Raw genomic sequence first — 24,551 nt, 5'->3', positions numbered from 1 at the left:
CAGAAATTCAAGCAGGCTACAGAATATCAGTAACTGATAAGCACCATTTTAAGTGACAAAAGTGGGAATGGGCAAAGGGGCATGCCTTCTGGAAAATGATTTCCACCTTGCCATTCTATATTTCCTACTTTTTTCTCTCTACCTCCGTTGCTCTTCCCCATAAGACCTAAAATAGCAAATGGCCTGAGTTTTACGAGATTGTGTTGGTTAACAGGTTTTTCATTCATTCAATTATTGCTTATTGAGTGTCGCAATATGTCAATTATTATTCCAGGCTGATTGAAAGAAAAGAATTGAGGTGTCATTCTTGTTTTCTTTCCCATCACTCTCCTTCAATATCAAGCTTTGACTGTTGTCCAAAAATAATATTTATTTATTTATTTATTTATTTTGGAGATGATGTCTTGCTCTGTTGCCCAGGCTGGAGTGCCATGGCCTGAACATGGCTCACTGTAGCCTCAACGTTAACCTCCTGGGCTCATGCAATCCTTCCACCTCAGCCTCTTGAGTAGCTGGGACCACAGGTGTTCATCACCACACCTGGCTAATTATTTTTATTTTTGTAGAGGTGGAGGTCTCACTATGTTTGCCCAGGCCGATCTTTAACTCCTGGCCTCAAGTGATCCTCCCGCCTTGGCCTCCCAAAGTGCTGGGATTACAGGCGTGAGCCACTGCACCTGGCCCAAAGATAATATTTAATATTATCTTAAAATTGGCATGCATGTTATGCACCTTCAACTTCATAGATTTTAATCAAAGCAGTCAGGCTTTTGATTCCTCATCTCTGGCTTTTTAAATATATTGATTATGAGGCAGAACAATATTTAGATATTATATTAGTCAGCATAAAGAACACAAGCTGCTATAAAAACAAAAACAACAACAACAAGCGAAAACCAAACCTCAGCGGCTTAACAAAATTAAGGCTTATTTCTCTCTCATATCACAGTCTGATGCAGCTGGGGCGGCTTCCTTTTTTTTTTTTTGACAGAGTCTTGCTCTGTCACCCAGGCTGGAGTGCAGTGGCGTGATCTCGGCTCACTGCAACCTCCACCTCCCAGGTTCAAGTAATTCTCCTGCCTCAGCCTCCCAAGTAGCTGGGATTACGAGTGCCCACCACACCCAGCTAATTTTTCTATTTTTAGTAGAGACAGGGTTTCACCATGTTTGCCAGGCTGGTCTTGAACTCCTGACCTCAGGTGATCTGCCCGCCTCAGCCTCCCAAAGTGCTGGGATTACAGGCATGAGCCACCGTGCCAGGCCTGGGGCAGCTTCTTATGCAGTTCTCCTCCAGTCGATGACTCAGGGATCCAGGCTCCTTTCCTCTTGTGATGCTTCTGTCTTCAGCTCATGGTCTCTGCAGCTGCTGTGGAAGGAAAAGAGAGGGCTAGAGGATTGGCAGGGATGTTTTTGGGGCCAAGCTTAGAAGTGGCCCCTGTCACTTTTACCCATCTTCCCCTGGCCAGAATGTTATCATATATCCCCATCCTGACTCCCGGGGAGGCTGGAACTATCTCCCTGAATTCACAGCAGAAGGACGTAGTGCAGACATTGTCATTGCTGAAAAATATTAACATATGTTCTTCCTCCCTCACTCTCCCAGGTATCTTCTGCTGTTCTCGCCCTCAGGAATAAAACTATTATAGTGGAAATGCAAAGAGAAGAAGAGTCTGAACTCAGCTTTTGAATTTCAAAATATGTTTTGAAATGTGTGGCTGGAGAGAAAAGTCTCTGTGTTTCAAAAGCCTCATCTTTTGTACTCCAAAAGTTTGAAACCTACATGATTCTGGACATGAAGTCTATGTCCTACAAAATCCAGAGGTTCAAACGAAGCAGAATCAGCCAGGATAGGTTTGGCAGCCCCACCTGGGAGAGGCAAAGGCAGCAGGGGCTGAGGAGAGAGGGGAGGCGAACCAGAGTCTTGTATGGGTCTCTGGAGGATCCTCCTCGCTTGCCTCTTTACAGATGGAGCCTCAGGGAGGAAAGAGGGAGAAACGGAGCCCAGGGGTCACTGTGGCATCTGGAAGGAGCAAAGACCTGAGCCTGGCTTCTCTTTACAGGCCCTGGAGGCGGTGGCTTTTGCAGTGTTTCCCCTCCCAGCGCGATGTCCAAGGAGTAAGGATGCCTCCTCTGTGTCTACATTGCAGGGGCTGGAGACAGCCTCTTGGAGCGTCCCAAGGCCCCCAGAACAGTGGGAAAACCCAAGGTTTCCCCATGTCCTTGACAGAGGCAATCTCAGTGCCTCAACAACAAGGATCAGATAGGTCAGCTGGGTGGAGCCCAGTGCGGATCGATACTGACAGCAGGACAGGGACCCAGAGGAAGATACCTGAGCAGGTGCCAGCAGGGACAAGGAAGACAATGAAGACCCCATGCCTCAACAAAACAAAAATTCAGAAGCTTATGCTCCCAGTGGAAAGCAGGATGAAGAAGTTATTAACTTCAGGTTCAGAGAAAAAAATGTTAGACTTTTTTGTCCCCTCTTCCCTATGAGATTTGTATCTGCCCAAAGTAAAACACCCTAAAAAGTTCTGAAAGGCACAGGGTGAAGCACTGGAAGGCAGTGGACATGGAGTGGGGGGACAAGAGTTTCTTTGTCACTAACCATCTTGTGTAACCTTGAGCTGGTCGTTTCACCTCTCTGGGTCTCAGTTTTCTCATCGGTAAAATAAGATGTAATACTACCTGCTTCTCTGGTCGGTTGTGAGGATTAAACGAAAAAAAAAAATCCAAAAAACAAAACCAAAAAAACCCCACTTAGTTTTGCACCTGGTAGTTGTTATGGGCTCAGCAAATATCTGACCCTTCCCTGCCTTTCCCCAGTGAAAGGAAATTGTTGCCGATTTAGAAACACCATAATTTTTGCAGGAAGGATGGATCCATGAGGTTATGTATACCAGCGCCTGGAAAACAAAATAAAACAAAGCCTTCTTCCACTCTGAAGAAGCAATAAAAACCTCAAGGCAAAAAACAGACAATGAAAATGACTTGAGAGCAGGGTGGGGGGTGGTGGGCAGGGTGAGGGCGGCGACTGCACTAAATGAAAAACAACAATTCAATACCCTGCTATCATCCTTCATCAAACTACAGAAATAGAAACCAGACAAACACATTATGTGAAGGGCAAAAGGGCTGGCAAGGTTCTGGCCTATAGGAAAAACCCTGGTTCAATAATCCCACGAACAGAGGGAGGTAGGGAAGTGAGGTCAAAGTCAATAGCGAGTATTTTTTTGTCAGAACGCTGGTTCTATAGCCCTAATGAGGCTTAAACATCACTCGTTCCTTTTTTGCTGAATTCAGTTTCTCATTAGACTCTGTATCTTCTCCCAGATCAGCCAGGCACATGGCAGGAGCTGCTTCCACTTCCTCTGGCCCATGAATTATCAAGGGTATTCTCTGAATTTTTTTTTTTTTTTTTGAAAAGAAAGCTTTGGAGTAGAAAATGGTCTCTTCTATTTATATCTCCTCTCTTCGCTCTGATTAGAGAGGTGATCAATTTTGGGGAAGGACTTAGACCCTGTCTTTATTCAGAGGACTGCCTGGTTAAGACAGTATTTTAAGATTATCTGCTCCGGGTCTTTATCTGTTTTTCTAGGGAAAATCTTAGGTCTGCAGTTGTGTTTTTTAATATCTTCAGGAGTCTTGGAATAGCCAAGTTTTATGTCAAGCTCAGTGCTAGGTGCTAGGAACACAGAAACAAAAAACAGGAATTAGGAAAGTGATCATGTTCTCAAAGAACGCAAAGAGATTTTACACCACCAGCTTGTAGGTAACCAGACTACTGGGTTAGCTGCAACTGGCATTTGAATAGATCTTTCCCAAGATCTCTTATCTCCTAAAGACCTCGCAATAGCCCTGTGGCTAGGTACTCTGGCTCGCTTTTCACAGATGGACAGCCCACTTAACTCTCCCAGTCTTTGTTCTATTGAAGACCGCAGCTGACTCCAGTCCTGGTCCTTTGACTCCAAGCCCTGTGCTGAGTTTTCTCCTGGTAGCAACCCAGTGGGCAGTGCCAAACTCTTCTAAGCCCATGGAAAGGGCACACAAGAATTTACTACCTTTTATCAGAAACCATTCCCTGGGAAATTCCTCCTCATTTTGAAAGAGCCAGGTCAAATGTAACACTCTGGGTGAAACTTGTTCTCTCTCCCCCAGGCAGACGGAGTTACATCTTTCTGTAATACCCCTATTGCTTTTGGCATATATAATAATCATATTAATAAAGATAGTAGATGCAATAGCGTAGTAAAAGGGTCTAAATTAACATTTATTGAGTGTGTTTGTGAACCAGGTGTCATGCTAAGTGTTTTACATGCATTATTTAGTGGTCAAAAGAATGTCAGGGGAGGTACTATTATTGTGTTTGGTTTATAGATCATATCAGTTAGGAGTTGAGTTTGGCCACATGTTGAAACCTGTCCGCAGTGGCTTAACCAAATGAGGACTTATTTTTCTCAAATAACAATAAATTAGCATAGACAGGCTCGGGCTGGTATGGTGGATCTACAATACTATTCTTTTTTTTTTTTTTTGAGACAGAGTCTTGCTCTGTCACCCAGGCTGGAGTGCAGCGGTGTGATGTCAGCTTTCTGCAACCTCTGCCTCCTGGGTTCAAGCGCTCCTCATGCCTCAGCCTCCCAAGTAGCTGGGACCACGTTGCACCAACACGCCTGGCTAATTTTTGTATTTTTAGTAGAGATGGGGTTTCGCCATGTTGACCAGGCTGGTCTCGAACTCCTGACCTCAAGTGATCTGCCTGCCTTGGCCTCCCAAAGTGCTGGGATTACAGACATGAGCCACCCTTCCCTGCAGTACTATTCTTAGCATGTGGCTTCTGCTATTTTGAAGACAAGATGTCTGCTGTTTTTCCGGTGTGTGTTCCAGGCAGGAGAAAGGGTGAAGGGCAAAGGACAAAGGGCAAAGAGCCTTTTCTTCTTTTCTTCTTGTGGCTTTGTCTTTTTTTTTTTTTTTTTTGAGACAGAGTTTCCCTCTTGTTGCCCAGGCTGGAATGCAGTGGCACAATCTCAGCTCGCTGCAACCTTTGTCTCCCGGGTTCAAGCGATTTTCCTGCCTCAACCTCCCAAGTAGCTGGGATTACAGGCATACAGCACCACGCCTGGATAATTTTTTGTATTTAGTAGAGACAGGGTTTCACCATGGTCAGGCTGGTCTCGAACTCCTGACCTCTGGTAATCCACCCGCCTCAGCCTCCCAAAGTGCTGGGATTACAGGCGTGACCCACCATGCCCAGCGGTTTTGTCTTATTAACTAGGAAGGAATGCTATCTTCCACCCACATCTCGCTGGCTAGGATGGTGTTACGTGGCCACCCTTAGCTTTCAGGGAACCAGAGAATTTTTTTTTTTTTTTAATTGCTAAGCAGATTTCTGTCCTGAACAAAATTGGGGTTCTGCTAGGATGGAGTAAGAGGAGAATGGATATTGGGTTGGTAACTACCAGTGCCTGTCACATAAATGAAGAAACCAGGCCTCAGAGATGCTAAGGTCTTGTCCAAGGTAAGATATATGGCAAAGTCAGACTCAGACCCATGTCAGTTTGACATCAGAGTCTATGTTCTTGGCCACTGTGAGAGATGACTCCCTTATCATAATGCATTGCAATTGTCTTTGGATTTGTTCATCTCTTCCTCCCTAGATTGTGAGCTCTTTGGGACTAAGAATAATTTTTTTTTTGTCATCTTGGTATTCCAGACACTTGCCCATAATTTGTTGAATGAATAAGTGAATAAATGTTAGAACTGCAACAGTTTCTGCAGCTAAAAATTCTTTCTAGGAAAATATTTTTATTTATTTATTTTTTAGACAGAGTCTCACTCTGTCACCCAGTCTGGAGTACAGTGGCATGATCTCAGCTCACTGCAACCTCTGTCCTCCTGAGTTCAAGCTATTCTCCTGCCTCAGCCTCCTGAGTAACTGGGATTACAAGTGCACGGCACCACACCCAGCTAATTTTTGTATTTTTTAGTAGAGACGGGGTTTTGCCATGTTGGCCAGGCTGGTCTCGAACTCCTGAGCTCAGGTGATCTGCCTGCCTCGGCCTCCCAAAGTGCTGGGATTACAGGCATGAGCCAGTGACCGAAAATATTTAATGTCCTCTTCCTCTGTAATGTTTCCTAACTACCTGCTTCTAAACAAATGGCTGCAGATGTATATAAAAGAAATGATCGGCCGGGCACGGTGGCTCACGCCTGTAATCCCAGCATTTGGGGAGGCCGAGGCGGGCGGATCATGAGGTCAGGAGATCAAGACCATCCTGGCTAACATGGTGAAACCCTGTCTCTACTAAAAATACAAAAAATTAGCCGGGTGTGGTGGTAGACGCCTGTAGTCCCAGCTACTCGGGAGGCTGAGGCAGGAGAACGGCGTGAACCCGAGAGGCGGAGCTTGCAGTCAGCCAAGATTGCACCACTGCACTCCAGCCTGCGCAACGGAGCAAGACTCTGTCTCAAAAAAAAAAAAAAAAGAAAAAAAAAAGAAAAGAAATGATCTGGTCTTTGTGCTGCCATGGATGCATTTTGCCTCTTCTATGATTTGTAGGCGTTTAACTCTCCTCTTTCTCCTTAAATACATAATGCTTGTTTCCAGGGCAGGGTCCAATTTTTCTTTGTTCTGCCTGGTCATTCAGACATTTCTATACTGCATTGCTCTGTTTCTAAGGGACTTGAGCGTTACCTGAATAACAAAAATTTGAGTCACTGGCAGCCCCGATCTCAAATCTCATTTCTTGCTGGGTCAGGGGACAGCCCAGGAAGATCTAACATCATTAAGATTTCAGTAGTTTGGCAAGGCAAGCAGGGAAGGGAGAATTCTCTTTTTTTGGAGAGAGAGTCTCACTCTGTAGCCCAGGCTGGAATGCAGTGGCGCGATATCGGCTCACTGCAACCTCTGCCTTCCAGATTCAAGCAATTCTACTGGCTCAGCCTCTTGAGTAGCTGGGATTACAGGCAGCTGTCACCACACCTGGCTAAATTTTTTGTATTTTTAGTAGAAATGGGGTTTCACCATTTTGCCCAGTCTGGTCTTGAACTCCTGACCTCAAGTGATCTGCCCGCTTCGGCCTCCTAAAGTGCTGGGATTACAGGTGTGAGCCACCATGCCCAGTTGGGAAGGGAGAATTCTTATGCTACCAGTTCAATAAGTAAAAATTTCAGAAGACCAACTGCTGATGTCCCTAGGTTAAAGAAAAAAAAAAAAAAGACAAAACCCGCTGTTGTTTCATAGGCCACCAGGAAATATCCTGGTTATCCCTCAAAGCCATACTGCTTGGTTGAACAGGATCAGGTTGTGGGGTACTGCCAAGTGGAAACCGCTGACTTAGGTTGGGGCTAATTCAGCACAAGAACAAGCTTGTAGGCACTTGGACTTCCACCTTGGTGGTCCAAATAATAATACTAAGAGATGTGTCAGGGCTGGGCGTGGTGGCTCACGCCTGTAATCCCAGCACTTTGGGAGGCTGAGGCGGGAGGATCAGTTGAGGCCAAGAGTTTGAGACCAGCCTGACCAACATGGTGAAACCCTGTCTCTGCTAAAAATACACAAAGTTAGCTGGGCATGGTGGTGCGTGACTCTAATCCCAGCTACTTGGCAGGCTGAGGCAGGAGAATCGCTTGAATCTGGGAGGCGGGGGTTGCAGTGAGCTGAGATTGGGCCACTGCACTCCAGCCTGGGAGACAGTGAGATCCTGTCTCAAAAAAAAGAAGAAGAAGAAGAAGAAAGAAGAAGAAAGAAGAAAGAAGAAAGAAGAAAGAAGAAAGAAGAAAGAAGAAGAAGAAGAAGAAGTTGTTTAAGGCTTCTCTTTCCAAGGCCCCTGGTTAAGCTTACTGTATCACTAACCAAATTAGTTGATGAATAATTACCACCTATTAAGCAGTTACTATGTTAGGCACTGTGCTAAGTGTTTACTTTTGTCCCATTTAATCCTTAGAACAACACTGTGACTATTATTGTTATCCTACAAATGAGGAATGGAAGGCTTAGTGAAACAAAGTAATTTGCCCAGCATAGTGGTTGCACCAAGGGGTTACTGGGGTGCTTTGCTTGCCGCATGTGAATCTCTAGCAGCCCCACTCAAGTCACCTTACATAATTAAAAAAAACCCAATAATAATGATAATGATATTCTTTGATCTTGACAATGAATGTTTTTTCACTCTCATTTAAAATGTGAATAAAGGTCAGGCCTGGTGGTTCATGCCTGTAATCCCAGTACTTCGGGAGGCCAAAGGGGGGGAATCACTTGAGGTCAGGAGTTCGAGACCAGCCTGGCCAACATGGTGAAACCCTGTCTCTACTAAAAATACAAAAAATTAGCCGGGCGTGGTGGTGGGCGCCTGTAATCACAGCTCCTTGGGAAGTTGAGGCACAAGAATTGCTTGAACCCAGGAGGTGGAGGTTGCAGTGAGCCGAGATCACACCACTGCACTCCAGTCTGGGTGACAGAGCGAGACTCCATCTGAAAAAAAAAAAGTGAATAAAGTGATAATGGTACTACTAATAAGCTATTATTAGTTAGCTATAAGTGTTAGCTGTAACACTTATGGAGCGCTTATCCTAAATCATTCCGTTCAAAGTTCTAAACGTGATAACATTAAATTCTTACAATAATCTTTTCAGGAAGGTATTATTGTTATCCTAATTTGCAGATGAAGAAACTGAGACACAGAGGGGGTAAGTAGCTGTCACAAGGCATCATGACTTGCAGGTGGCAGAGCTAAAACTCTGCTATTTTTACTGATTTATAACACAGCCTAAGTAATACAAACAATATGCTCAATACAACAACTCACCTTCAAGGCAAGTCCTCCCGACTTCCCTTCCAACCAGTCTGCAATCCCCAAACACCTTTTATATGGAAGTTCTTAGTCACCACTGGTCCCAGATTACGTGGGCAGGAGGTGGGAAGCCTGCGTTCTCATCTGGGTTGGTCTGACTCTGAAGCAGGGATCTTTACTGTTGTACTGTTCCAGCCCCAGCCAGGTTAAACCCAGGTTCAAAGGCCAAATCACACACTGGTTGGAAATGACCTTGGAAATCATCTAACCCAGCGTTTCTCAACCTCCGCACTATTGACATTTGGGGTTGGATAACTCTCCTGGGGGGACCGTCCTGTGCATGATAGGATGTCAAGCAACATTCCTGGCTTCTACACACTAGATGCCAGCAGCACCTCCCCACTGTAACAATCAAAAATGCCTTCAGTCGGCCAGGCGCGGCAGCTAACTCCTGTAATCTCAGCACTTTGGGAGGCCGAGGCAGGCGGATCACCTGAAGTCAGGAGTTCGAGACCAGCCTGGCCAACATGGTGAAACCCCATCTCTACTAAAAATACAAAAATTAGTTGGTGGCGCACACCTGTAGTCCCAGCTACTGGGGAGGCTGAGGCAGGAGAATCGCTTGAACCCAGGAGGCAGAGGTTGCAGTCAGCCGAGATCGCGCCACTGCACTTAAGCCTGGGCGACAGAGCGAGACTCTGTCTCAAAAAAAAAAAAAAAAAAAAAAAAAAAAATGCCTTCAGTCACTGACAAATGTGGGAGTGGAGGTGGTGGAATGGCAAAATTTCTCCTTGGTTGAAAGCCACTGATCCAAACCATCTCATTTTACAAATGATGGAGCTGAGGTCCAAAGAGATGAAGTAACTTGTTTAAGCTAGTTAGCAAAGCCAAGATTAGAATCCAGGTTATTCACGCAATATCCTTTTATTTCTATAACGTACAGGGCACGATATGGAACTCAGAGGAAGTCACTGCAGTCCTTGTCCTCACAGTCTGGTAGGGGAGAGAATCTATTGCACAGATATCTCTATCTCCACGAAGTTGGTAAGTCATAAAGTGCTCCTCAGGCAGCAAGGTACGAAGAAAGAGAATATGTTCTCGTGTTCTGAATTCCGGATCTGCCACTTTTTTGCTGCAGGATTTAACTAAGGTTCAGTTTCATCATCAATGAAATGGAGATCATGGTATCTACTTATATCACCAGTTTGAAACGGGTCTGTGGATGCATTGTGCAAACTCTAAAGCTCTTACAAACATCGGGTATTATTACTAACTTCATTAGGAATGTGAGTTATATTAGAGTAAAAGCTCTCAGAACTGGGGTGAACCATAGAGGGGTGGCTTCATTCCTCGACCTTCCAATTTGAGACATTTTTTCTTCTGCGGGAGGGGAAGCAGGCAAATAGCCTGCCTCTCACAGAGTGCCCATTCCCTCTCCGGGAACCAAGGTGCTCAGGCGAGTAAACTCAGGACTTAACTCTGTACAACTAGTACCGCAAGCAGGAGCCACTCCCTGGCCTTCGGGTCTCTCAAGCCCCGCCTGCTCCAGGATACGGCCCCGCCCAGAAAGGAGACAGACCCCGCCCCCCCCGCGCTGCCCCGCACTCCAGCCGCGCTGTGCCTCCAGGACAATCCCAGGCCCGTGCCGGAGATTCCCGAGCTTCCCCGATCGCTTCCCGGCCTCCCTCGGGCAGCCAGCGAGGAGACTACGGAGATTGCCGAGGGGGCCTGGCCCCGCCCCCCCCGCGGGCCGCCACCGCCCCCCTCGCCGTAGCCTCCCGCGCGGGCTGGAGTTCTACATCCCGGTCCCTCCCTCCCTCCCTCTTTCTCTCTCCCCGCCTTCCCGGTGCTGCCACAGTGGCGGGTCGGAGGATCCCGGCCAGTCAGCTCGTTCCTGCCTCGCGCCCCTCCTCCCCCCAAAATAAACAGCCCTCCCCACGCCTCGGGAGCCCGGACCGCCCCCTTCCTCCCTCGGCCGGCGTGCTGTGAGGGAGAGTGTGAGCCAGCGCGGCCGGTGGGCGAGCTCCGGGAGTGCGAGAGGCGGGGCGGCGCGGCGGGCCGGGCCGGGTTTCGCGTGTGCGTGCGGGGGCGCGAGCGAGTGCTCATCACGACCCGCCAGTGGCCCCGCGCCGACAACCCGGCGGGCGGGCGGGCGGGGAGCAAGCGGTCAGGCAAGGAGCGGCGGCCGCGAGGCGCGGAGGGGCGCGGAGTCCGCTCGCGCGCACGCACGCACGCACGCGGGGGCGGGGGCAGGCGCGCGCCCGCCTGTCGCGACAGTCGGGGCCGAGGCCCAGGGGGAGGTGGCCTGTCGCGGGTCGCCCGGCTCCCGGAGGCGAGGGGGGCGCGGGCGGATGGCGGAGGGCGCCCAGCCGCATCAGCCGCCTCAGCTCGGGCCCGGCGCCGCCGCCCGGGGCATGAAGCGGGAGTCGGAGCTGGAGCTGCCGGTGCCCGGAGCGGGAGGAGACGGAGCCGATCCCGGCCTGAGCAAGCGGCCGCGCACTGAGGAGGCGGCGGCCGACGGTGGCGGCGGGATGCAGGTGACCGCGCGGGACGGGGCGCCCAGTTATTGCGGGGGTGGGCGTGAGGGTCGACACCGGGCTCCCCGGCTTGGAGAGAGGGAGGGCCTCCGGGAGTCCTGGGTTGGAGGTGGGATGGGGGGCCATTCGGGGCCTGGTTGGAAGGTGGGGCGAGCTCGGGCTAGGAACGAAGGTTGCAGGACTGAACCTGGTGTGCCCGAGAGGGTCCTGATTCCTGAGGGGCCAGGAGGCACGACGAGTGGATAGGTTTTGGGGGGAAATCGAACAAGGTTGAGATGGATTCCATTTTTTCAAATCCTTCCTTAGTGCCTTGGGGTGGAGTGGAAGCCGGGAAATCCTGGCTTCTCTGGACTGAGTCGAGGAAAAGGAGATCTGGTGGGAAACCTCCCGAGAAGAGGGAGTACCTTTTGGCAGCCCTGGGCACACGCTGGGATGGGGAAGAGAAGTGGCATTTCAATGAGAGGAGTGAAAAGAAAACTCCTCGAGAGAGCCCCGAGGGGATGTGGCTGAGATTGTGGGTTAAATCACACAGAGTGTGAGAAGTACAAGGAGTTTGGTAATGTTATGGGGACACGGTGGTGCTCAGTCTCATTTACTTTGTGGAGCATACTAATGAGTCTGAAGGGAGACACTAGACATGTCCCTCCTGTTCTTTGCCAATTGCATTCTACATCACCAGGACACAAAATAGCTCTTTAATGTCCCGGGCTATAAAAAAAATTTTTTTATAGGGCTATTAGAAGACTGGATTCTCAATTCTGGATTGAAAGATAAACGTGGTTAATTTGGGTAGGGAATGGGAAAGGTATTGATGTCAGCTGACTTCATAGTTTTGAAGAAGACCTTGAAACCTTTGGAGGTTTTACGATTTGGTCTTTGCCCAGAAAATACTGCTATGACATGATGAGTCTCACCTACCAACAGTTGTGCAGACTTGTGCCTAATTCTCTCGGAGTCATAGGATGTTAGAGGGATGCTAGGAGGACTAGACATCATCTTTTCCAGGGGTTCTTAACCTGGGAAGACTTGGAAGATTCTTACTCATAGTAGGTGATGTGCACTTTTTGGTGGAGGAGAGTCAATAGTTTTCATCTTTGTTTTTTTTGGAGGAGATTCAAGTCCCAGCTTGTTTTAACCACCTTATTTTATAGATGGGGAATCAGAAGTCCAGAGAAGATGGTGACTTGGGTAAGGCCACCCAGTTAGCTAATAGTAAAACTAGAACTAGAAGCCTGGTCTTCTAATTCCTATTCCTGTGCTGTCTCCATTACACCACTCTTGGAAATCTCTGCAGTGCTAAAAGACTTCCTGTGCTCTGCTCCCTGCTTTTCAAGCCTCTGCCTGACTTCCTGTGTTAGGGACAGAGCTGTACTTAAGCCTAGCATGTTTGTTGTATGCTTCTTGGTCTCCTTTGCAGAGTTTACCCTGTTACTTCTGTTGATTTAGGTAAAGTGACCCTCTTGGTGTTTATTTTTGAATTCTTTTGTTTTGTTTGCCTGCTTTTATTTTCCATTAGAACTCTGTCAGGCAGAGGGATTGTGAGAAGTAAAAGCTCAGGGCCATGGCAAAAAAGACAGGAATGTGGGAGACTTCAGGTGAGGTGAGCTAATATTGGATGATAAGGAGGGAAGACTGGATGTAGGTGCTGGTGAGCAGGTTCTACTTGGTGTGTGTGTGTGTGTGTGTGTGTGTGTGTGTATGTATTCATTTATCATTTCTGTCAATCCTAGTTAATAGTGAGACCCCCGTCCCTTTCCCTCATTTACTCCTGGGGCCTATTATCTGTTGGTTGCCTTCAAACTGGCTAAAGATAGTGATATTTGGAAATGGAGCAGTGTGTAGGGACTTCGCAGGGGTGTGCAGAGGAAAGAGTGGTTAGGTCCTTGGGGGTACAAATTGGCAGCTGAGAGTTATCCCTCCGAGAATCCTTTTTTCACTTCTTGTATTTTATTTTCTTTCTATACATTCTCTTTTTTTTTTTTTTGCCCAGGCTGGAGTGCAATGGCACGATCTCGGCTCACTGCAACCTCCACCTCCACCTCCACCTCTGGGTTCAAGGGATTCTCCTGCCTCAGCTTCCTGAGTAGATGGGATTACAGGCGTCTGCCACCATGCCCAGCTAATTTTTCTTATTTTTAGTAGAGAGGGGGTTTCACCAGGTTGGCCAGGCTGGTCTCGAACTCCTGACCTCAGGTGATTCACCCACCTCAGCCTCCCAAAATGTTGGGATTACAGGTGTGAGCCACCACACCCGGCCTTCTATACATTCCCATTGTTGTAGGTCCATTCCCCTATGTCATACAGGTATTCAAATCATTGATTTAGGCCCTGCCTTCAACTAGCTGAATGGTTCTGCAGAAATCTTTCATTTTGGGGCCTCTGTTTTCCTTAGTTGTAAAATAAAGTATGTGTACAAGATGATTTCCCTTGTAATCCACCCACCTCGGCCTCCCAAAGTGCTGGGATTACAGGTGTGAGGCACCGCACCCGGCCAAGTTCTAAGTTACCTTCTAAAAGTTATAAGTCCAGTTCACTGTCCTTAAGGTGCATGCAATCTATGTGGGGAGACAAATGGGCGAAAAGTTTTTTTTAAAGAAGCGTGCATTTTTAAAGAAGTGTGAGAGTATTACATGAATATACTTAATGTTTATTCATTGAACTAACATTTATTAAGCAGCTGCTACATCCCAGGCACTGTTTTAACCCTAAGAGATATAATAGTGAACAACAACAACAAAAAACCCTTGCTGTCATGGAACTAATATTGAATGGAAAGAGACATCTAATAAATCAACAACTATAATTGTGTGGTGATAAGGGCTAAAAAGAAAAAGCAGGGAAAGGGAGAGATGGAAAGGGAGAGAATGAAGATGGTTACGGAAGGGCTTTAAGATAGATGGCCTATGAGTGAAGTGAGGTAATGGGCCATTCAGATGCTTTCGGAAAGAGGGTTCAGGTAGAGGAGGTGAGGGTGCACAGGCATTGAGAAAGACTGCTTGGTTTGTTTGGAAACAGGAGACCAATGTATTAATAGCTGGAGCAGAGAGAGCAAGGGCAGGTAGTCTTAGGAGATGGTATCAGTGGTTTAGAAATATCTATAGGCCCTATGTAAATACACACTTTAAAAATCTTAGCCGGGCGCAGTGGCTCACGCCTGTAATCCCAGCACTTTGGGAGACTGAGGCGGGTGGATCGCCTGAGATCAGGAGTTCGAGACCAGCCTGGCCAACATAGTGAAACCCGTCTCTACTAAAAATACAAAAAATTAGCCAGGCGTGGTGGCAGGCGCCTGTAATCCCAGCTACTAGGGAGGCTGAGGCAGGAGAATCACTTGAACTCGGGAGGCGGAGGTTGCAGTTAGCTGAGGTTGCGCCATTGCACTCCAGGCTGGGCAACAAGAGCGAAAATCTGTCTCAAAAAAATAAAAAAAATCTTATCGTAGCCAGTGTTTTGGGTATGTGGGTTTGTCTTAAAGTACACGTCTTTTTTTTCTTTTTTTTTGAGATGGAGTCTCACTGTTGCCCAGGCTGGAGTGCAGTGGCTTGATCTCAGCTCACTGCAACCTCTGCCTCCTGGGTTCAAGCAATTCTTATGCCTCAGCCTCCTGAGTAGCTGGGATTACAGGCATGTGCCACCACACCCCGCTAATTTTTGTATTTATAGTAGAGATGAGGTTTCACCATGTTGGCCAGGCTGGTCTCGAACTCCTGACCTCAGGTGATCGCCTGCGTTGGCCTCCCAAAGTGCTGAGATTACAGGCATGAGCCACTGCACCTGGCCTGTTTTCTTAACACGTTTTCTAACTCCTTTTGTGAAGCCTTCCCTGACAGCTTAGTTCACACCATTCCGATCCTACTCTTGCCTCTTGGTATATTGATGCTTAATTGTGTGTCATCTTTTATTGTCCCTTAATTGTTTTATTATTCTTGTTTCACTGCTAAGATTGTAAGCTTCTAAAAGATAGGAACTATATTTCCTTTGTATTTATCCTTCGTAATACCTAACAGTTTTGGGTACTTGGTAAGTGCTCAATGCCTGTTAAATTGAAATTGAAATTTACCTTTTACAGATAGTTAAGGATTAAGAAAAATTGTGAAATTCCAGAGTGAGGGTATCATCACAGAATTTTCCAGGCACTTTGAATGTCAAAGGATTAACCGCTTTTTATAGAATAAGTTCATTTACTGGGGTCATTCCCAAGGCTGCTTACTAAATGGAGCTGTAGTGCTAAGCGTTAGATTCCAAAGTTGAATCTTGTTAAGTTGTACCACTAAGCTTTTGGAGTAAATCATCACTTACCAAAATGGAGTTTAGGAAACGCCAGAGAGTCTGTGATGCTTTTGTTATAATCCTTAGGCTCAGAAGGAACCCTAGGAGAAAGAGAGGAAGGGTCGGTGCTTTCAAAGGCAGTATACAGAAACTTGATGTAGGTGGAAGAGGAGTCAGTGCAGCCCTGGAAAGAGTACAGAAATAGAGAAACGTGAACCAGAGAGTAGGAGGGAAGTGACAAACTCAACTGGAAAGCTGATGTACAGTTTGAGAAATGTAGTTAAAGAGAGTACTTGGAAATACTGTACTCAAAGTTTGTGGGAAGTTAAATGAGTTAAATATAGGGCTATTAGAGGTTCATTTCACTTTAAGTTTAATATGTATGAAATTTACGCTCTATACAATGTAGTGGGGAATGAATTCTTTTGGTCAGCTTTTCTAGTGAACAATTTGATTCATAAAAATTTTATTTTTGTGCAGTTTTCTAAGAGTTTAGCTGCTGTATAAGGTAAGATGTACCTTATTACTTATAGCTTTCAGCAGAATTCTTTGTGTCAGTGAAATGTTGATATGGTATAATTATTATATGGCCAAGTAACCGCTTCTCACCATAGAGTCATAAATCCAGTTTAGCCAAGTGGGTTCAGCAGTTATTCCTATTAGCAGCTGATTCTAGTAGTAAGATGACTTTCTTTCAGGTTTCAGGGAAGGGGTTCCAGATAGCCTGAAGTTGCTTTGTAGATGCTGTGTTTATTGAAGTAGTTTATCTTCCCATTTGCTTATTTATGGGCTTATTTCCTCATAGGTGGATGTCTCTTTGTGCCCTCATTTGGTATTTGGTGCTGAAACTAAGCATGGTGCTACCATTCAAGAAGAGTTATAAAAATATTGTGTTTTTTTTTTCTTGCAAGTAATTTCATGAACAATATTTCACTGAAATTACTGAATTTTTCATCTCTCCCTGTCCCAGTGTCCTTGGGCTGCCACAGCAAAATACCATAGACTGGGTGGCTTAAACAACAGACATTTATTTCTCACAGTTTTGGAGGCTGGGAAGTCCAAGATGAAGGTGCCAGCAGATTTCATGTCTGGTGAGGGCCCACCTTCTGGCTTGTGGATAGCTGTCTTCTTGCTGTGTGTTCACATGGCCTTTCCTTTGTCTGTGCCCTGGGGGAGAGAGAGTCAGTGGTCTCTTCCTCTTCTTATAAGGGCACTCATTTATCATGTAGTTCCCACCCTCATGACCCAATCTGAAGCTAATTCTAGAGGTCCTACCTCCAAATACCATTACACTGGGGTTAGGGCTTCAACATACGAAATTTAGAGGGACACAGACATTAAGCCTGTAACACTACCAGAGTGGTAAATATTGTAGATGGAGAAACTGAGGAACAGTCATGTAAAACTTGTTGCTTTTTTCCCCATGTCTTACAAGGAAGTCTGCAGATGTAAAACTGGAAATGTATTTGAGAAGGAGAAAGTCAGATCTGATTTCAAAGTAGAATTATTCTTCAGGGTGACTCAAGAGATTAGCTTGAGTTGAGTTTGTCTCCCAACTCCCTCCCATTTTCTAGCTACTCTGTCATTTTTTTTTCACTATCACGCTGACATGTGAACACAACAGAAGCTAACTAGAAATTTAACTTTCATTTTGCTGTAAAGCAGACTGGTGCAGACAGGCCTCAAGTTTACAGGACTGCTGAGAAAGAAATTGAGTTATGCTACTTTGTATAAACAAGAATGTTGCTAGTGAATCTCTAGTTTAACATCTCTCAGGCCTTCAGTTTGATGTCAGGCTTTAATAATTTGTAGAAAAAGACAGTCATTTTAGTAAGCAGATTTCTTTGAATTTTTGTTGATATACATTTGTAAAGCATAGTAAACATCTTTATTCTGGGGCAAATGTGCACTTCCTTCAAAGGCAGGAGGGAAGAACCACAGACATGATTGGAAGGAAATGGCAGTAATTGGAGCATGAGCAGACAGATGGAGTGAGGGATGGTGAGTACATTTGGTGTTTTAGGTGGCCCCTAGGAGTATTGAGTTTCTTCTTATTCTCCTCTACAACCCCAATACAAGCAGGCAGCTTACATGGCTAAGGTTTCATTATCTAATCCATCACAGATCAGCTTGAATAAACCCATTGGCTGATGCTGATCTAGTTAGGAAAGTAGCAAAGCTGCTTGAGCCAGGATTGGGACAAATCGGATCAGAACTGCCATGTGAATCCTGGACGCATTTCTGTAATTTGGGTGGGCAAAGTAGTTTGGGAAGTCATTTACTCAAGAGAATGAGCAGTCAGCCATGAGTTTTTTCAAACATTGTCTTAGGGACTCTGAGGGGAAAGTGTGTGGAGGATTTGAGATATTTCTCTGGAGGATAGCCAGATTGCTTTGATTATTTGAGTCTGAACATTTTTTGGTCACTAATGCTCAGAAGTGACCTTTTTTTTTTTAGTAGCATTTGGAGATTCCAGTTGTGATCGTTTGTCACTTTTGTGAGTGATCCCTTAATCTGAGACCGTAGGATATATGTCCCTTCTCTGTTTTTATTTTATTTTTATTTTTTATTTTTATTATACTTCAAGTTCTAGGGTACGTGTGCACAACGTGCGGGTTTGTTATGTATGTATACATGTGCCATGTTGGTGTGGCTGCACCCATTAACTCGTCATTTACATCAGGTGTATTTCCTAATGTTATCCCTCCCCCCTCCCCCCACCCCAGGACAGGCCCCATTGTGTGATGTTCCCCACCCTGTGTCCAAGTGTTCTCATTGTTTAATTCTCACCTATGAGTGAGAACATGCAGTGTTTGGTTTTCTGTCCTTGTGATAGTTTGCTCAGAATGATGGTTTCCAGCTTCATCCATGTTCCTACAAAGGACGTGAACTCATCCTTTTTTAGGGCTGCATGGTATTCCATGGTGTATATGTGCCACATTTTCTTAATCCAATTTATCATTGATGGGCATTTGGGTTGGTTCCAAGTCTTTGCTATTGTGAATAGTGCTGCAGTAAACATACGTGTGCATGTGTCTTTATAGCAGCATGATTTATAATCCTTTGGATATATACCCAGTAATGGGATGGCTGCGTCAAATGGTATTTCTAATTCTAGATCCTTGAGGAATCGCCACACTGTCTTCCACAATGGTTGAACTAGTTTACAGTCCCACCAACAGTGTAAAAGTGTTCCTATTTCTCCACATCCTCTCCAGCACCTGTTGTTTCCTGACTTTTTAATGATCGCCATTCTAACTGTTGTGAGATGGTATCTCATTGTGGTTTTGATTTGCATTTCTCTGATGACCAGTGATGATGAGCATTTTTTCATGTGTCTGTTGGCTGCGTAAATTTCTTTTGAGAAGTGTCTGTTCATATCCTTTGCCCACTTTTTGGTGGGATTGTTTGATTTTTTCTTGTAAATTTGTTTGAGTTCATTGTAGATTCTGGATATTAGCCCTTTGTCAGATAGGTAGATTGTAAAAATTTTCTCCCATTCTGTAGGTTGCCTGTTCACTCTGATGGTGGTTTCTTTTGCTGTGCAGAAGCTCTTTAGTTTAATTAGATCCCATTTGTCAATTTTGGCTTTTGTTGCCATTGCTTTTGGTGTTTTAGTCATGAAGTCCTTGCCCATGCCTATGTCCTGAATGGTATTGCCTAGGTTTTCTTCTAGGGTTTTTATGCTTTTAGGTCTAACATTTAAATCTTTAATCCGTCTTGAATTAATTTTTGTATAAGGTGTAAGGAAGGGATCCAGTTTCAGCTTTCTGCATATGGCTAGCCAGTTTTCCCAGCACCGTTTATTAGATAGGGAATCCTTTCCCCATTTCTTGTTTTTTGTCAGGTTTGTCAAAGATCAGGTGGTTGTAGATGTGTGGTATTATTTCTGAGGGCTCTGTTCTGTTCCATTGGTCTATATCTCTGTCTTGGTACCAGTACCATGCTGTTTTGGTTACTATAGCCTTGTAGTATAATTTGAAGTCAGGTAGCGTGATGCCCCCAGCTTTGTTCTTTTGGCTTAGGATTGTCTTGGCAATGTGGGCTCTTTTTTGGTTCTATATGAACTTCAAAGTAGTTTTTTCCAATTCTGTGAAGAAAGTCATTGGTAGCTTGATGGGGATGGCATTGAATCTATAGTTTACCTTGGGCAGTATGGCCATTTTCATGATATTGATTCTTCCTATCCATGAGTCCCTTCTCTGTTTTTAAAGGGGAGATATTTTTATTACTAACCTTAATATGTAATCATATTTGTTATCCATATATACTTGAAATATGGTGTAGTAAATAAACACCATTTAGAGCTTCTCATTTTGGGATTTGAATCCTGGCTTCTCCATTTACCAAATGAATGAGCTATTCAACATCTCTGAGCTCCTGCTCACACATCTGTGAACTGGGAGAATTAATGTATACTCTTATAAACCACTGTAATGAGAACTGAGATTCTTTAAGGTGCCTATCAAGGAACCCAGCACTACATGTTTATTTCTTGCTTTCCTTATATCCTGCTATACAGCACTCACTAACTTCCTGCTTACTGTTTAATCTGCATGGAGTGGTTAATGTGCTTCTGATTGATTAAGTGCCAGAGTTGGGAACTACTAGAGATGAGCAGTGTGTTAAAGGGGAAACCTCATTTGCTCATTATCCAGGGTGGAGGAGTGGAATGAACTGGGTCATTGTGGTCTCTCTTGTCAGAGGAAGGGGAGACAATTCTTTGCTAAGGAGTGAAAGGACTGCTGCAGTATCACAGTGTCTGCAGGGGGGATGTGGATTTCTTAGAACCCGTGGGATCTCTGTTGGGAGGGTGGGTGACAGATTCACTGGCTGTTTTAGTGGTACATGGAAGGCAGGAACAGTAAAAATGTCGTGTTTCAAATTTTATAAGTTTTGTTACGTATGTTGGTTCAAAAGTGGCACTTTTTGTTCTCATTTTGTCTATGGAAATTGAGCTGGGATGCCTTTGTGTTGTCTCTTGTGGTCCCTTTTCAGTCTCTTCAAACCCGCTCTCCAGACTGCTAACACAGTGATCTATCTAAAAGAGCCAATCTGGCCAGGTGCGGTGGCTCATGCCTGTAATCCCAGCACTTTGGGAGGCTGAGGCGGGCAGATGACTTGAGGTCAGAAGTTCGAGACCAGCCTGGCCAACATGATGAAACCCTGTTTCTACTAAAAATACAAAAATTAGCTGGGCGTGGTGGCGCATGCCTGTAATCCCAGCTACTTGGGAGGCTGAGGCAGGAGAATTGTTTGAACCCAGGAGGTGGAGGTTGCAATGAGGAGAGATCGAGCCACTGCACTTCAGCCTGGATGACAGAGTGAGACTCTGTCTCAAAAATAAAACAAAAGAGTCAATTTGTTACTCCACGCTTAAAATCTTTTGAGAGCTTGTGTTTTTTCTCAGGATTGTCTGTTCTCTTGTTTGGCCTGACTTCTGCGTAACTTTCAAGCTCCGTCTCTTTCCACATTCCACCTCCAAGTCCATGTCCAGTGGCTTATAGTTTTCTTAGCATGTGGTGCCACCCAGCTAATGAATACCTCTGTGCTTTTGTTCCTTTCCCTTCTACCCAAAGTTCCTGCTTCATCTCTTCTACCCCCACATTTGTAAGGCTCAATCTTTAATAATGAGTTTGGATATTGATTCCTCCTGGATGCCTTTTGTGACTATTCCCATGTCTCCCACACTCCTGCTGTCTTCCAAGACATCATGTCTATAGCTCTGTTAAAGGACTTTTTAGATTAATACTTGATTGAATGTCTGCCCCACCACGCTTACCCAGACTGTGAGATCCTTAGGAATCTGTAGGATTAAGCACCATGCCTGGGCCCAAGTAGTCAAGAAACTGTCCATTTTTGTTAAATTGAACTTTGTCTTCCTGCTTCTCAGTTGGGGCCTGCAGATGGCTTTAATTGTTTATCCAGATTTTCCCTGGGGGGTCTGGCCCTTGGTCTGCTTTCTATCCCCTGTGAAGACTGCATGTTGTGTGATATGTGAATGTTAACCTGATCTTTTCATTGATATCAGGGTTAAAGGTGAGAGAGGGGTCTCTGAAAACAGAAGCTGGGGTAGAATTTAACTGCAGAATGTGTTGGGTAGGCATAGCAACCTGATATTTAGTTTCCTGTGTTCAGATATTAATTGAGTGCACGTGTGTATATGTAAAAAGCTCCTTTGTGATAGTGTGGTTAAGGAGAAAAGAGGAACCACACAAGTGAGAGAGGCAATTAGAGCCAACCTGTTCCAGTTCGCTGGAGCAGGCTGTTGATTTACCTTTTTACAGTGCTGCTGCAGGATTCTGGAGTGTAGCAGTTCGCATGTATTACCACCATTTGGGGTGAGAACTATTTGATCAGCTAGGGACCTTAACCTTTCTCTTCTCAACCAGTGAATTTCATCGGATACTATAGCTTTATTTTTTATTTTTTATTTTTTTTGAGACCGAGTTTTTGCTCTTCTTGCCCAGGCTGGAGTGCCATGGCATGATCTCGGCTCACTGCAACCTCCGCCTCCCGGGTTCAAACAATTCTCCTACCTCAGCCTCCCGAGTAGCTGGGATTTACAGGCACCCACCACCAAGCCTAGCTAATTTTTGTATTTTTAGTAGAGACAGGGTTTCACCATGTTGGCCAGGCTGGTCTCGAACTCCTGACATCATGATCCACCCGCCTCGGCTTGCAAAGTGCTGGGATTACAGGCATGAGCCACGTGCCCGGCACTGTAACATGTTTTTATGGATCTGGGGAAAATACCAAGCGGAGACACTTCACAATACATGGTATTTTTCACATCACTCATATTGGATATGTTTGAAAATAAGGAAGTCTGATAGTGTTCCTTTAAATCTCAGCCTTGGCGATAGATTCATAGAAGTATTTTATAAGAATTCTCTCTGGCTGTTGTTCTCCCCTCCGACTTCACTTTCAGCTTCTGGTTTGGGGTCCTGTATAATCCTTGCCTGTTCCAGCCAGTTTAGTAGGGACCTCTTTAGCTGCAAATGATTGTACTTCATAGTGCCTCTGGCCTTTTCTATTCTAAATGAATAAAGAGAATTCTGAGAAGGGAATGAGAGAGAGCAGCCTGTAATATATCACTTCCTTCTGACATGTCCTGCACTTACGTGGCATCTAGAAATTTCTGCCAAAAATTCAAGGCACAGGACACATGATAAATACCACTTATGAAGTAGATGACATTCTTGAATTGTCAAATGATGGTGATGGAATAACTGCTTAAAAACCTGTTTTCCCAAGGGTGGAAAACAGCCTTTGAGGTTTAGACTTCCACATGGGTGTGTTCAGCCATAAGACGTGGGTTTTCTTAGGGACTTAGGTCCCCAGGTAACACCTTGGTGTGTGGGATTTTTCCCATGTATAGGCTGGTTCCTTGGTTTCTCCGTTGTTGAAGAAGAGAGATTTTGCACTGGGTATTGGATATTTTATTCCAGGCATGTGGTTTTTGAGGAGGCATATTGTTGATGTATTTTTTTTTTCTGGCTGCATTGATTTTTGTCAGATTCTAACTGGAAATACCACAAGCAAAGCATGATTTATCATGAGGGATGGGTGGTGTGGCCGTGGGACTCTCCTAGCTCTGGGGATTGGGGTGGAGGCAGAAGCTATGTGAGTAAAACTAGAGGAACTACAGACAGGGCCTGGGGAGACTGGGGGTGTCTGAATGTGGCCTGCAGCAGTTGCTTGAGTTGGAATACTTTTGGGCAGAGGCTCATAGAAATTTCTTTCAATTGCTTTTTTTTTTCTTTTAAGAAGCTTTTTCCCATACAAATTGGAATTGTTTGAAGGAGTGGGCCTTAATTGTTGCCAGCCAGAGTGATTTTCAAAGCAGATCTATATGGATTTCACTTAGGGGTTACTTTCAGGGGGTATGTGGCTTGTTCTGAGACAGGAGGACGTTGGTTCCATTTTCCTGGAAGTTGTTGGGACTCCTGGATGGCCCTGCTCTATTTGTCTTGGGCCATTAGGCAAGTGGAAAAGCAGCTACATAGTTAGCCCTGTTGCATGGAGTTTAGTTTCATAATTCATCCTCTCAGGGATTTTTATACAGTCACACTTACAGCCTAAAGTTTGTTTTCTCCCTTTTTCTTTCTTTTCCTTCTTCAGTTCAGTGGTCCACAAAAATTCTTGGGAGGGTAAGTAATAATTTCGGGTAAAAGGCAGGAATTGTAGATCTTTTTTTAGCCCCCTGCCCCGATTAAATTTCTCCATATTCAGCTTCTCCTTCATCTGCAAAAGCATCTGCAAATGAGGTCGCTATCCCCTAATCAGACTGGCTTGTCCCCTAATTAGTCTGAATATGTGGCTTTGACAGCTTTCACCTGCTGTTTCTTAGTTTCTAGGGGATAAGATAGGATTGTGTGATTTCAAAGTGAAAACTGGCAAAATTGAAAGATGTTTTGTGGTGGCTCCCAACATCCACAAAGCTTAACTCATTGGTTTGCTTCTCATATACAAGCTTCCAGGAACATGGTTACTGTTAGTGGCTGGCACAGTGGGTTTGAAGACTTTGTTGGAACTTCAGGAAGTTTCCCCTTTGGCAAAGCTTACAGGGAGTTGGTAGTACTTGTCCTGAAAGTCTGACCCTGGTCTTATGCTATGCACACCTTGTTTAAAAGAATGCAGAGTACTGCTATTCAGCTATTGCTTAAGCAGTCCGTTTCATATATGTCTGCATTAGTTACATACTTACATAAGATTTTACTATGTTTTGTGTTATATTTGAACTAGAAGTCATAGTTTCATACATGACTCTTATTAAGCTGATAATAAATTGGCAAATTTTGATATCATCCAAGACTTTGAGGTAATGCTGGTCATACTCAAAAGGTCTGTATTTGGGTTTAGAAACTAATTTTTCTGTTAGCTAGCGCCTCTCCATTCCCAGGTGCTGTTCATTACTCATTATAGACATCTTCTGTCCCTCTGCTTTGTTAAA

At 45.0% G+C, this 24,551-nt stretch overlaps 1 protein-coding gene across 20 annotated transcripts in view, besides 2 other annotated features; it reads left to right on the top strand.

Moving 5' to 3' along the window:
* Positions 3,596–4,339: an enhancer, noted in NCBI's record as "NANOG-H3K4me1 hESC enhancer chr22:36431275-36432018 (GRCh37/hg19 assembly coordinates)". NCBI's record gives its function as "activates a minimal SCP1, AML or CMV promoter by ChIP-STARR-seq in naive H9 embryonic stem cells {active_cell/tissue: H9 hESC(naive)}" and the evidence as "EXISTENCE:reporter gene assay evidence [ECO:0000049][PMID:30033119]".
* Positions 10,507–10,576: a silencer, noted in NCBI's record as "silent region_13660". NCBI's record gives its function as "represses an Ori minimal core promoter by ATAC-STARR-seq in GM12878 lymphoblastoid cells {active_cell/tissue: GM12878}" and the evidence as "EXISTENCE:reporter gene assay evidence [ECO:0000049][PMID:35858748]".
* Positions 10,742–24,551, top strand: part of RBFOX2 (RNA binding fox-1 homolog 2) — a 290,089-nt gene continuing 276,279 nt past the window's right edge. For 19 of the 20 annotated variants that reach the window (NM_001394108.1, NM_001394111.1, NM_001394110.1 and 16 more), the window contains exon 1: positions 10,742–11,326. In NM_001394108.1, coding sequence (NP_001381037.1) covers positions 11,141–11,326 — 186 coding nt within the window. In that variant the 5' untranslated portion in view covers positions 10,742–11,140. Of the gene's footprint in view, positions 11,327–12,482; positions 12,515–24,551 lie in introns of those variants that run through there. The other variant, XM_017028686.1, reaches the window with a different exon arrangement.

Source organism: Homo sapiens, chromosome 22 (genome assembly GCF_000001405.40).
Source record: "Homo sapiens chromosome 22, GRCh38.p14 Primary Assembly".
Classification (NCBI taxonomy): domain Eukaryota; kingdom Metazoa; phylum Chordata; class Mammalia; order Primates; family Hominidae; genus Homo; species Homo sapiens.
This window is presented reverse-complemented; position numbering and strand designations above follow the sequence as displayed.